The sequence below is a fragment of the Homo sapiens genome, chromosome 1 (assembly GCF_000001405.40).
Source record: "Homo sapiens chromosome 1, GRCh38.p14 Primary Assembly".
Lineage (NCBI taxonomy): Eukaryota > Metazoa > Chordata > Mammalia > Primates > Hominidae > Homo > Homo sapiens.
In genome coordinates this window covers 170,071,576-170,085,720 of record NC_000001.11, presented here as the reverse complement: position 1 = coordinate 170,085,720, position 14,145 = coordinate 170,071,576, and the positions used below count along the sequence as shown (strand labels likewise).

Genomic DNA, 14,145 nt, shown 5'->3' with positions numbered 1-14,145 from the left:
CCAAATCTAAAGCAATACCTGCTCATAAATTTTGTTTAAATTAATAAATACAGCTGATATGGCTGGATACACTCAGATGATAGTCCTTCCTCACCATGCTATGTGCATCTCTGCAAAGGAATACACATGAAAGCATAACAGTAGCTATGCTCTCCTGCAAGGAACTTCCACTTGAACATACATGTATAAATCCACATATACGAATTCACAAATACAGATGTGTGTGTGTGTGCACATATGGGTGTTAAGTGACTAAATACACCTCTATTATTCATACTGAATAACACATTCATTTGACTGTGTCTTTAAGGTTCATCAGTTTGGCATATTGCATGACTATTTTCTCAAAGTATTATTCAGACTATAAGAGAATCTGGTGAAAGAAAAAAGCACAGGAATTCATTATTCATTATCCTAGTGGGCCACGCCCCATTCCTGATCCTAGGAGCAACCCAGTGATGTCATAGTTATTGTCTTACGTCATACTAGTTGAAACAGTGGTTACCACCACCAGGAAGAGAATTATTTTAAAGGGTCCTTTTAACTGAAATCTCCTTTGTATTAAGATGTGCTACATGAGCTCAAACTAATTGGAAAGGTGGCAGGATAATGGCATTGATAGCCAGTGGATATGGGCTCCTTGGGCCCCACTGGCCATTTGATGGCATCCCAAAGGCAATCACAAGGTAAGAAAGATTTTCTATGTACTGTTGAAGCAAATCAGGATTGAAATGTATAAACAACACATTTGGAGTATTTTTAAAATGTAATTCTAACCCCTCTGTTTTCCGTTGCTGTGTGGATAAAATATAGAGAAACGAATATTGCTGAAAGTAATAAATCTTAGCATACAACTTTCCTATATTAAAATTCTTCAATGGGTCCTCATGCCTGCAGGAAATATTCAAATACCATGTTCTCGTATACCAGGTTCTCCATGATCTTGCCCCTGCTGTCTTTTCCCAACTTATTTTGCATGCCATTCCACCCAAAACTAATTCTGTCTCAAACTACATACAGTTACTTAACTGTACCATGATATTTCATACTTTTGTGTCCTTGTATGTACTATTGCCTTTCTCTATAATATCCCTGTTATGCTCTCTGCTAAGCAAAATTTTATTCAGCTTTTGTGAGTCCTACTGTGAGTCTCTATCCTCCAAGATAAGTGGATTATTCCCTTTTGTGCCAGCATCCTACTTGTGTCATGCTGCTATTATGAAAGCATTAATATAGTCAATAATTATTTGTTTATATACCTAGTGACTAGTTCATGTGCTCCTTGAAGGCAGTAACTGTATTTGATATAGCAGCAGTTGCCATTTATTGTGTTAGTACTACGTGCCATGCACTGTGATTGGACATCCATGATTTTATGCCTTTTTAATCCCTCTTATTGGAGAGGATAGAGGTATAAACAAATAATGCACATAAAGTACAGTATATGCAGTAGAACAGAGAAGGCACTGTACTGCATCTGAAGCTTACAAAAGGCTTCTAGGAAAAAGAGTTTTGCTTGATGGAACAAACTGTGGTATTAACAAAAGGCTTCCCAATGCAACCCAGACTGACTCCTATATCTCTAAAGCCCTCAGAAACCATCTTTAGCCATGTTGGTGTATCATTGGGATTATTCGTCTTTAAATGATTCTGTCATTGGTGTTAGGCATCTTTGTACTCTTTCTCTCCTGTCAAATTATAAAATTGTGAGGCAGCAATCACTTTTCTCAGTACTTTTAAACACCCCGCTGTGGCTAGTATTCAAAATACAGTTGACAAATTTAAGAATAAAGTTGAAATAATAATAACATCATCATTTTCATGTAACTTTAAAATTTATAAGATTCTAACAAAATATCAACTCTTCGTATCCTTGCAATAATCTTTGGCAATATGGGTATTTCCCCCAATTTTTCTAAATGAAGTACACACAGAGTGCTTAAGTGACTTGTCTAGAGTCATATAATTAATAAGGGATATGTGGGTGAGTAGTCATATGATTAATAAATGGCAGGTGGTAATTAATAAATGGTAGGTAGGTAATAAATTAACTAAGTTTGCAAACACCTGGTCCAGCTAATATCAATTGCTGCCCTTAATGTGATAAATACACTGGTACAAATTTATGTATGCTATCTCATTTAACTTTACAATAACTCTAGGACATAAAGACTATTACCCCTATTTTACAGATGAGAAAATTGAACATTACAGAGTTTAACTTGCCCAAGGTCAAAAGTAAATAAGCGGTAGAACAGGCACACTAACCAAGTTCTTACTCCAGAAGAATTCAGGTTCTTAGCCACTACACCACAGAATAATGCAAGTCCAAGTGCTGAATGAGATTGGTTTCTTCACTCAACAATTTATAACCCGTTTGGGAGATGAGAACGAAATAGAAATGAAAAATTAGCACACAAAAAATTACTAACTGATGATGGCTTCTGAGATCTCTATCTTTGGAATTCTCTAATTTCAGTAATGAATTTGTTTTATTTATCCTGCTTGGGATTCACGTCTTTGATTAACTCAGGATGTTTTCCAGTCTTAAATATTGGCTTGTCTCTAGCCTCTCTATTCTTTTTTTCCAGCAGTCATATTAAAAGCTTATGGATCTTTACATGTTATCCTTCCCATCCCTTAACCCCTTTTTAAGAACTGGTTTTCTCTATCACACTGTGTTGTATTATTTCCTCTTAATATTTACAAATTTTCTCTTCAACTGTGTTTATTTTATTATTATTTTTTGAGACAGAGTCTTGCTCTGTTGCCCAGGCTGGAGTGCAGTGGCATGATCTCAGCTCACTGCAACCTCTGCCTCCTGGGTTCAGGCGATTCTCATGCCTCAGCCTCCCAAGTAGCTGGGATTAAATGCATGCCCCACCACACCTGGCTAATTTTTGTATTTTTGATAGAGATGGGGTTTCACTATGTTGGCCAGGCTAGTCTCGAACTCCTGACCTCAACTGATCCTCCCACCTTGGCCCCCCAAAGTGCTGGGATTACAGGTATAAACCACCATGCCCGGCCAACTGTGTTTAATATGCTATTTAATCCACCCATTTGGCTTACTACTTTTTTCCTTGCTCATTATATCTTTTAAAACAATCACATTAGGAAATAATTTATATACAACAAAGAGAAAGTATAATTTATTTTTATACAAAATTTTTAAAATTTACATGCAATAAAATGAATGCAAGTATACAGCTTGATGAGTTTTAATAATTGTATTCACATGGGTGACCATTACCCTAAAGTTTCCTCCAGCCTGGCTGCAGTCTATCCACCCTCTATCACTAGCACAAGGCAACCACTTATCTACTTTCTGTCATAATAGATCGGGGTGTGCTTTTTTTCTATTCAAGAGTTTCTTATAAATGGAATCAAACCATATGGTTCTTTCGTCATAATGAGGTTTTTAAAGATTTATTTATGTTGCATATATCAGTAGTTTTGATTTTTCTTGATGCTAAGTAGTATCCATTGTGTGAATATCCCACAATTTGTATCAATTGACATGTTAATAGACATTTGGGTTGTTTCAAGTTTTCTGTCATTATTAATAAAGCTACCATGAACATTTGTGAGCAATTGTTGTGGACATATGTTTTCATTTTTCTTGGGTAGACACATAGGAGTGGAATTGCTGGTTGTATTGTAAATATGCATTTAACTGTTGAAGAAACTATAAAACTGTCTTCCAAAAGGTTGTACCATTTTGCATTCTCACAAGTATTAGAACTCCAGTAGCTCCACATTCTTACCACCAATTGGTATTGTCTGACAATTTAATATTAATCATTATGGTGGTAGGTATTGTGGCAGGTAAAATAATGCTCCCACCCTTCTCACCCACCCCCACAAAAAAAGGTGCTCACATCCCATCTCTGGAACCTGTAAATATATTACCTACATGGCAAAAGGAACTTGATAGATGTGATTAAAGTTAAGGACCTACTTTAACATGGGGAGATTATCCTGAATTATCCAGTGGGGCCCACATGCATCCCTAAAAGTGGAAAACCTTTCCTGGCTGTGGTCATAGAGAGATGTGATAAGAGAAGAAGGACCTGTGAGATGGCAATAATGAAAAGAACTTGGGCCACTGTTGCTGGCTTTGAAGATGGAGGAAAGAGGCCATCAGTGAAGGAGTGTGGATGGCCTGTAACAGCTGAAAATGGCAAGGAAACTGATTCTATTCTAAAGCATCCAGAAAAAAGTAAAGCCCTCTTGGTATCTTGATTTTTAACTCAGTGGGATTCATTGCAGACTTCTGATCTACAGAACTGTAAGACAATAAATTTAAGTTTTAGGCCACTAAGTTTGTTACCATTTGTTACTGCAGCAATAGAAAACTAATATAGGTGTATAATAGTGTATTTCACTGTGGTTAAATTTCCAGTTCCATGATAACTAATAAAGTTGAGTCACTATGTGCTTATTAGCTAGAGATGTATCTCCTTTTATGACATTTTTGTAAATTAATTGCTCATTTTTAGTTAGGTCATTTAGATTTTTTGTTGACTTGTAATAGTTCTCTTTATATCATGAATACAATTATTTTGTCATATAGATTTATGGCAAATACTTTCAGTCTGTGACTTACCATTTCATTTCTTAATGGTGTCTTTCAAAGGGAAGTTTTAAATTTTGGTGATAGACCTTCCTTCTCTTAAGTTTTCTAAATTGTTTTATGATTAAAGCAAAATGATAACACTGATATAGTTCTAAATGTACATAAAGGAAATGTTAAAGATAATTTTATTAAAAATGGAAGAGAGTAAACTGACAAAGGGAGATGCAGTTTCTACACTTCATTCAATCCAATGAAATGTAAATTTCAGTAGATCTTTGTGGTGACAGAATAATTCTAGATACTGATTGAGGTAGTGGTTACAGGAATTTACACACATGATAAAATGGCATAGAATTATATACATACATTGTACTGATATCAGTTTTTGGGTTTCTGATTACAATACATTTATGGAAGATGTAACTACTGGGTGAAACTAGGTGAAGGTACCTAGATATCTCTGCACCGTTTCTGCAACTTTCTGTGAATTTTAAAAAGTTTTAAGAAATTATCTGAAAAGTTAACTGAACCATAAGTGAGTCATTCTCTTTCTATTCTTTATTTTTTATTCTCTTCCATTAATCTATGTATATGTATATCCTTATGCCAATACACATTGAATTGACTAATGAAGTTATAGTAGGTCTTTTAATCATGAAGCCTTTCAAATTTGTTCTTCAAAATTGTGTAAACTCTTAGAGGTCCTTTGCATTTTCATATAAAATAATCAACCTGTCAATTTGTAAAAAAAAATTGCTAGTATTTGATTGGAGTTATATAGAATCTATAGATAAATTTGAGTAAAATTGATGTTCTAATAATATTGAATCATTCAATCTATAGACATGACACACTTTTCCATTTTCCTAGGGCATCTTTAATTTCTCTTAGTGCTGTTTCATGGTTTTCAGTGCATAGGTCTTGAACAAATTTTGGTAGATTTATCCCTACATATTTATTGCTCTCTGGTGGTATTATCAATGGTGTTTATAAATTTTATTTTTCAATTTTTCATTGCTAGTATAAGTCAATGCAATTGATTTTTGTAGTAACTTTATATTCTATGATATTACTAATTATTAGGTCTAGTAGCTTTTTATTTGTAAATCAAAATAGTTTTACTTTTCCTTTCCAATCTATATGGTTTTTCAAACACCACTGATAATATCACCTGAAAACAATAAATACGTAGGGATAATTCTACCAAAATTATTCAAATAAATGGAAAGACATCCCTTGTTTATAGATTGGAAGACTTCATATTGTTAAAAAAAAATCCATACTAGCCAAAGCAATTTACATATTCAATGCTATCTCTATCAAAATACATTGACATTCTTTTAATAGAAATATTAAAAAAAAAACCCTGAAGTCCATATGGAACCACAAAGAACTCCAAAAAGCCAAAATGATCTTGAGAAAAAGAAGAAAGATTGAGGCATTACATTTCCTGATTTCAAAATATATTACAAAGCTATGGTAATTAAAACAGTATTATACTGGCATGAAAAAGACAGATAGATCAATGAAACAGAATAGAGAACCCAGAAGTAAACCCATATAAGTATGCTTTATTAGGGTGAAGAAGTCACTTTCTATTCTTAGATTGCTAATAGTTTTTTAAAATCATGAATTCCATTATATTAATTTTCTGCTTCTGTTGAGATGACCATATGATTTTTTACCTTTATATTGTTAATATGTGTCTTTGTTCATATGTGTTGCTATAAAGGAATACCTGAGATTATGTAATTTATAAAGAAAGTTTATTTGGTTCATTGTTCTTCAGGCTGTACAAGAAGTAGGGGGCCAGTATCTGCTTCTGGTGAGGGCTTCAGGCTGCTTCCATTCAAGATGGACGGGGAAAGGGAGCCAGCATGTGCAGTGATCACATGGCAAGATAGGAGGCAAGAGGTGGGGGAGGTGCTAGGCTCTTTTTGTCAACCAGCTCTCACAGGAACTAATAGAGCAAGAACTCACTAATTACCACAAGGACAGTATAAAGTCATCCATGAGGGATCTGTCTGCATCACCCAAACATCTCCCATTAGGCCCTGTCTCCAACATTGGAGATCAAACTTTAACATAAGGTTTGGAGGGTCAAGTATGCAAACTATATAGCAATATGGCAAATTAATTATTGGATTTTCATGTATTAAACCAACCTTGCATTCCTGGGATAAACCCCATTTGGTCATAGCATTCTTTTTATGTATGCTGGTTTGATTTGCTAATATTTTGTTAAAGAGTTTTGCACATATGTTCACTAAGGATATTTGTAGCTCTTATTTTGTAATACCATTTTCTAATTTTGATATCAGGATAATGCTGACCTTTTAAAATTAATTGGTAGATATGCTTTCATTTTATATTTTCAGAAAGTATCTAAATTGACATTATCTTAATTACTTGCTTGGTAGAATGCATAAGTGAAGCTATTTGTGTCTGAAGTGTATTTTGTGGGAAATATTGTCATTAGGTATTCAATGTCTTTAAGAGATAAAGAGCTTTAACATTTTCTCTTTGTTCTTGTCACCATCTTAATAAATATCATTCAAGGTATTTGCTTATTTCATTTAAGTCATTAAATTTATTAGTATAAAGTTGTTCATAATTTTCAAATTATCATTTTTATACCTGTAGAATCTGAATGATGTCCCTTCTTTCATTTCAGATATTAGTAATTTGTCCTCTTTATCTACTTAACTGTTGATATCTCTGTGCTCAGTTTATCAGTCTGGCAAAAATATAAATTAAAAATGGACAAAAAATTTGAAGAGAATTCAAAAATGGTATAGAAATGGTAATTAAACATATGAAAATATGCTCATACCATTAATAATCAGGGAAATTCAATTAAAATCAAGTGAGATAGCCCTGCACACTTATTAGAATGATGAGAGTAAACAGACAAATTTAAAAAAAAAACAAAATACCAAGTGCTGGAAAGGATGTGACTAAATCTGAACTCATACATTGTTGGTAGAAATGCAGAACGGCATTCATTTTGGAAAACAGTTTGGTGGTTTTGTACAGTCATTCATATATTTACCATACAACTAAGTAAACCTATTCTTAGATAACTGAACAGGAGTAAAGAATACTAACTAACACAAAAATCTGTATGTAAATATTTTTAGTAGCTTTATTCATAGTTGCCAAAAGCTAGAAGCAACTCAAATGTCTTTCAACTGGTGAATGAATAAACTATGGTACATTCATACCATGGAATAGTACTTAACAATAAAAAAAAAAACAGGACCGAAAAACAAAATGGATTGTCTTCAAATGCATTGTGCTAAATGAAAGAAACCAGATTCAAAAGGCTACAGCGCCTATCATTACATTCAGATGACGTTCTGGAAAAGGCAAAATTATAGGAACAGAAAACAGATCAGTATTTACCAGAGCCTGGGGTTGTGGGGATAAGGCGACTCCAAAGGATACAAAGGAATTTTAGAGGATGACAGAACTGCTCTATGATTGTGCAGGTAATTATATGACTTAAGAGTTTTTCAAAACTTAGAGAACTGTAGGCCAAGAAGAATGCATGTTATTGTTTTTAAATTATAGTGCAATTTAAATAAAGCATCATGCTGTATTTAATCTGCCACAATTTTTCACTCAGTATCATGTTTCTAATATTCATCCATGTCATATGTAAAGTTCTAGTTCATCAACTTTCTCTGCTGCATATTATTGTATTGTGTGAATATTTCAAATGTATTCATTCATTCTCCTGCAAAAGTATTTTGTTATTGTCTTTCTGTTTTTCATTTTCTACTAAGCTCAATACTTCTCCAATGATTTTGGAACAATTTTATGAAGTATAGAACTAGGAGTAGAATTGCTGAGATTTAGAGTATGTGCCTATTCAACTTTACAAAATAATCTGACATTTTATTCCCTTGTTTGGCCCCGCCCACATCCTGCTGATTGGTGTTACAGAGTGCTGATTGGTGCATTTACAATCCTTTAGCTAGACACAGGGCGTTGATTGGTGCATTTTTACAGAGTGCTGATTGGTGCGTTTACAATCCTTTAGCTAGACACAGAGCACTAATTGGTGCGTTTGTACAGAGTGCTGATTGGTGCATTTACAATCCTTTAGCTAGACCCAGAGTGCTGATTGGTGCATTTACAACCCTCTAGCTAGACAGAAAAGTTCTCCAAGTCCCCACCCGACCCAGAAGTCCAGCTGGGTTCACCTCTCACTAATGATGCTGTTTGCTTGTCTGTTTAAAATGCTGACAGCTAGATCTCCTCATTGTAAAGTAACATTTCTTTTCCTTTAGAATTATAAAGAAATATGCGGGGTAAAACTTTGCCTCACTTTAAATTATTTTAAAGTAAATTAATAGGGCTTATTTGAATCCATTGTTTATTGGTGCTTGCAAAATAGTAACTATCATTATTTTTCTCCATTCCTACCAGGTATTTTCTGTTAAGAAGAGCTTTTCCTTGTTAAAAGGAGGTGAAATCTGGTTTATTTCCAAAAGCATTAGATTAAATCCTTCTTTCTTTTAATTACCAGCTTTCAGAGTAAAGATCTGATGCAGTAGTTGCCTCCAGTGGAAGTGGGGTTCTTTTTTCCCTGTTTTTCTATGTTGTTGAGTATCATTATGGATTTCTTTTTTTTATTTATTTAATGTCTTAAATCAATCCCAGTAATTCCATTTGATTCCCAAATTGCCTCAAATTCACCAGTGTCCTTTTTACATAATCTTATCTTCTTAGTCTCTGACTATGTCCTTACTGTCAAGCATAAAATGTTCCAGGCTCATCTTGTACTTTTCCTGCCACAGACAGACAGTTTATCTAGTTCAGTCCCAGTTTCAGCTATCTATTTATTGCTCTGGTTTCCAGCTCTCTCTTTCTTTCTGGCCTCTGGGCATTTTCTTTAGGTTTTTTTGTTGTTGTTGTTGCTATTGTTTTTTCAAGCTCAGGTTTGCATTTTTTCAACACCAAAATTTTTATTCAGTGACAACTATGGGCTGAATGCAAAAGTGAACGAAATAAGTTCTCTGAGCTCAAGGAGCTAACTTACATTCCAAAAATCCTTGTTATATTATCTATGCATTTTAATGTATATTTTGGTCTTCCAATTTTACGTATTGTGAAGATTTTAAAGTAATCTAGCCTGCTATATTACCATTAAAGGTGTTATAAATGATAATTTGTAAAATTTTACATTAGTTTGCAGAATTAATATTTAGAAAAACAAAAAATAGGAAGTCCAATGAGGAAGGAATTGCAGTACTCTAGGTATAAAGTGATTAGACTATTGGTAGAAGTAAGAATGTAGAAAAAAACTGGACTACCTGAATATCTTGAAGGAAGAAAAGATAGAATTTTGTAACACTTTAGTAAGAGGGCATGATACAGAGGAAGGAGTCAAAATTAGCTGCAAATTTTCTTCCCTTTCAGAATGAAAGAATGACTATAACATCTACAGAAATAGTGTAGCTGGTGTGAATGGGTGGGAAGATAAAAATATATTTTGTTGGGTAAGGACTGTATTTCTATATTTAATATACCATGCAGTGCCTTAACATGGTGTTTTACACATAACGGATAATCAATAATTGCATCAATGTACTACATTTGAAAAAAGCAGCAGAGCAACTACGTGCACGTCTCAAAGCAACTGGGAAAACAGGACTAGAAGACAGTGAATAAGTGACAAGATTATAGGTGAGCAGGGGGAGTAGAGGTGCTTTCTTTGCATCCCTAGAGCCTGGTTTGGTGTTTGGCACACAGCCAGCCCTCAATTCACATTTACCAAATAAATGAACCTATATCATTTGCATAGACATAATAGCTGAACCCATGGGAATAGATCTTAAACCAGAGAACATGCAGTTAAAAAAGAACCCTTCTTTCCTATGCCCTGCACTGCTAACAATTGCCTGCCTCAGAAGAAGCAATTCTAAACATACCTTGAGTTCAGGATAATTGGTGGAGTTGGAATTTCAGGAACTGTTTTTTGTTGCTGTTGTTTGTTTGTTTGTTTGTTTGTTTTGGTTGGGGGAGGTGTATTCTAGATTTAAGACATCAAAGTGACAGACTTGCCGCCTTCAAAGTTATATCCATTTTGTACAACGGTCAGATTATCTCCATAAGTTAGAGCTTGTAAGTGCAATCAGGGCCATTCAGGCCCCCAAATAGAAACCTCCCTTATTAGCTGGACTGCTGTATAGCATTCGCTAACTAAAAGGTTATCGGATTCCCCTCTCTCCTTTCAAGCTGACCTGACAGCCCTTTCTATTCCCATCCTCAAGGGGGCGGTGACTACGGAGCCACTCCTTATACACGGACGCTCAAAACTGCACCAAAACTTCCCTGCTCGGCTCCCCGGTGCGTCAAACTCTGAGGCCACCGCCTCAGACTGAGCCTGCGCATACAAGAGGTGCAGAGCAAGCGCATGCGTCGTGACGGCCCGGCTTAGGCGACTCTGGGCGGGTCTGGGCCGCTCCAGTGTTTTGGGGCACAGAAGCTGTGGGAGGAGCTGGAGGCTTCACCGTGGTAACCACAGCGCCGCTGCTGCCCCGCCTTGCAGGCCTCAGGACTGTCATCGCCTCTGGGTGTGAGGGTACTTTGGCCACCGTCCCCGGAAATAACCGCGCCTGCCTCTCAAGATACCCCATCCTCTCCACGCCGCTGCCGCTGCCGCCATGCAAGGGGAGGACGCCAGATACCTCAAAAGGTGACGACTCCCCAAGGCTCTGTCCTACCCTCCTTGCCAGGGCCCTGAAGATGTTCTTGGGTTGGCTGTGAGATGTCACTGGGCAACGCTAGTTTAGCAGACGGGATGGGAAGCAGGGAGAGAAGTCACCGAAAGGAGAGGGAAAAGGTGAAGTGGAGAAAAAAGGAGAGCTCTGGGGGGGTTTCAAAGTCCTTTGACCTGACTCGGCGGAGCCCTGACAGCATTGAAAGATGGTTTCTTCGCTACATCACCTTATTCCAGGGGGAGAGGGAGGTAGGGCAAGGTAAACCGCGTCTTTTGTTTTTTTTTTCGCCTCTTCCCAGACTCTCCATTTTCCCATAATAGATAAATCCCATGAGAGCCTGGGAATAAAGTCTGGTGCATCCGCCCTCAGGCCTCAGTTTGGGGTTCATTGCCATGGGCTTTTGAAATGATGAAGGGGAAAGAAGTGGTGGATTCTACTTTTTGGAAGGCTGAATTGAGATGTTGATTTCCAGTCTCTTTCTGCTTTCCGCATCCATGTCATCCATTTGACTCCCATGTATACAACATAATTTTTGTAGGACATTTAGTAATTATTAAGAGGTTTGTTCAGAAGTTTGATGACAATAAAATAGGCCATAATTTCTTTTAAATATAGTATCAGTTACTCAAAAAAATTGTAGTCTGTTGGGATTATTTGGGTGCTGGCAAATACTCAGATCATTCCTGATTTGGAAAAAAAAAAAGATACCTCCCACTGAACCAAGAGTAAGCAGTGATCCAATAGAAAAAAATTTTAATTCAGTACTGATTCAGTAAATACCCTGGAAAAGTCGCATGTATTCCTTTGGGCACGGTTTCCTCATCTGAAAATGGGACAGGCGTTACCTTCTGAGAGATACAAGGACGAAAGATGAAATACTTTTAAAAAATGAAACATGAATGTAAGGTGGTGGTATTATTTCAAGTCATAATACACTTGCAGTGAATATTTTTATTCTGGCTTGGCTGAGCTCTCATCATCACAGAAAGATCTTCCAAGTGTTAGTAGACTCATAGAAGGGATTCAAACAATTGTATAATAAATAAATCAACTCTATTGTCCTGGCAAGACAGGCATATATTGACTGTCTTTTTTATTTTATGTAAATATATCTGAAACTGGCAAATAGCCAGACTTTGTCAGTAAAAATTTTTAAATGAATATATAAGCCTACATCAGTGTTTATTTCCTCACTGAATTTTACTTAACGTTGGTTTTTAAAATACCTTGGTTAAAAATTTTGTGACAGAAGAAAATAAATTGCCTTTTAACTTTAAATTCAAAATTGTTCTGGAACAAAGAGCCGCTGTTATACCATTAGCTGATTTTCATGTAATATATTTGTGTCAGAGGTAGTTTTTCTTAACATTATCGTACCAGTATGGACACTGAGGCATACTGTGACTTATAATTCTCAACCTATTGTTTGCTTTTAAATACATACTATCTAGAGTTCCAAAATTAAAACCAAGCCAGTCAATGTAATGTTTGAAGTAAAATGAGATTAGAGTCTGAAAAGGTTGAAAAATACATTTCTCAATTTCATCTAATTTTTACTATAAATAATAAAAAGTTTGAATTGTCTGTTTTCAGACTAGAAGCATACAGGAGACATGTATTTATACAGGCCTGATGGAAAACATTTGTGATGTCTGATAGAACCTTCAATTTTAATTATTGTTTTTTGACCATGATTACATATATTCTTTAACAATATTTTTACTTTTATATTTTGTTTTTAACAAGACAGCAGATAGCAGTATATTTTCAGTCCCTTCCTACCTGAGTAATTCCATATTTTGGTTTTACAAAAATAATTTTTTTTGAATCTCTATGTGTTTTGGTGTTTGATTCTTACATGCCCTTCCTTTATCTGGAACTTGCCCTGTTCTTTGCCCCGCTAATTCCTCATCTTTCCTGTTTTGACATAAATACCACTTTTTCCAGAAAGCTTTCCTGAACTTCCCTTTCCCACCTCACAATCCAGGTCAGGTATACCTGTTAGGGTCTCATGATACTTAATACCTTGTTTTTCCCTAAACTTACTACTTTATATTTCCTTCTGGTTTATAAAGTTCATAAAGGTAGGTGCTATGTGTCTATCTTACTTCCCATTGTATTCCCAGCACTCAGCAAGGTGCCTGAAACATAGATTATTAAGTAAAGTCAGAATAAGACTAGAAAGAAATATGAGCCAAATCATATGGGACTTAAGCGCTTTAGTAAAGAGTTGAGACTTTATTTTGAGTGCATTGGTGAACTATTGAAGGATATTAAAAGTGAACAACATTTGTTCATTCATTTAATAGTTGAGATTCTACTGTGTAAAAGTCATTAAGCCAAGTGATAAAACATATTTGGTAAATGAAACATAAATATATTCCCTGCCTTCATGGCATTTACACTCTAGCAAGTAATACAGACTTTAAAATATACTGATATTTATTGTATTTATGAGTGCTATATGAAAAAAGTGTGTGGCTTTTGTGTCAAGCATTTCTCACATGGTATATCAAGGTCCATCTGTGTGGTAGCATGTATCAGTACTTCATTCCTTTATATAGCTGCATAATATTTGCTGTGGTTTGGATATAGTTCGTTTCCACCAAAGCTCATGTTAAAACTTGGTCCCCCATTGTGGCAGTGTTGGGAGCTGGAGCCTGGGAGGTGTTTCAGTTTTGGGGGTGGATCCCTCATGAATGGCTTGGTGCTGTTCTTGCTGGAGTGAGTGAATTCTTGCTCTAGTGAGACTGGATTAGCTCTCTTGGGAATGGATTAGTTCCCTCTAGAGTTGGTTGTTATAAAGCCAGGAAGACCCTTGGGTATTCTCTTTTC

General features: G+C 35.7%; 1 protein-coding gene across 9 annotated transcripts in view, besides 2 other annotated features; it reads left to right on the top strand.

The window, feature by feature from the left end:
• KIFAP3 (kinesin associated protein 3) overlaps positions 537-14,145 on the top strand; it is a 163,856-nt gene continuing 150,247 nt past the window's right edge. For 6 of the 9 annotated variants that reach the window (NM_001204516.2, NM_014970.4, NM_001375830.1 and 3 more), the window contains exon 1: positions 11,026-11,285. In NM_001204516.2, coding sequence (NP_001191445.1) covers positions 11,254-11,285 — 32 coding nt within the window. In that variant the 5' untranslated portion in view covers positions 11,026-11,253. Of the gene's footprint in view, positions 687-11,025; positions 11,286-14,145 lie in introns of those variants that run through there. The other 3 variants (XM_024454186.2, XM_047449531.1, XM_047449537.1) reach the window with 1 other exon arrangement.
• Positions 10,798-11,097: an enhancer, noted in NCBI's record as "active region_2083". NCBI's record gives its function as "activates an Ori minimal core promoter by ATAC-STARR-seq in GM12878 lymphoblastoid cells {active_cell/tissue: GM12878}" and the evidence as "EXISTENCE:reporter gene assay evidence [ECO:0000049][PMID:35858748]".
• Positions 11,158-11,217: an enhancer, noted in NCBI's record as "active region_2082". NCBI's record gives its function as "activates an Ori minimal core promoter by ATAC-STARR-seq in GM12878 lymphoblastoid cells {active_cell/tissue: GM12878}" and the evidence as "EXISTENCE:reporter gene assay evidence [ECO:0000049][PMID:35858748]".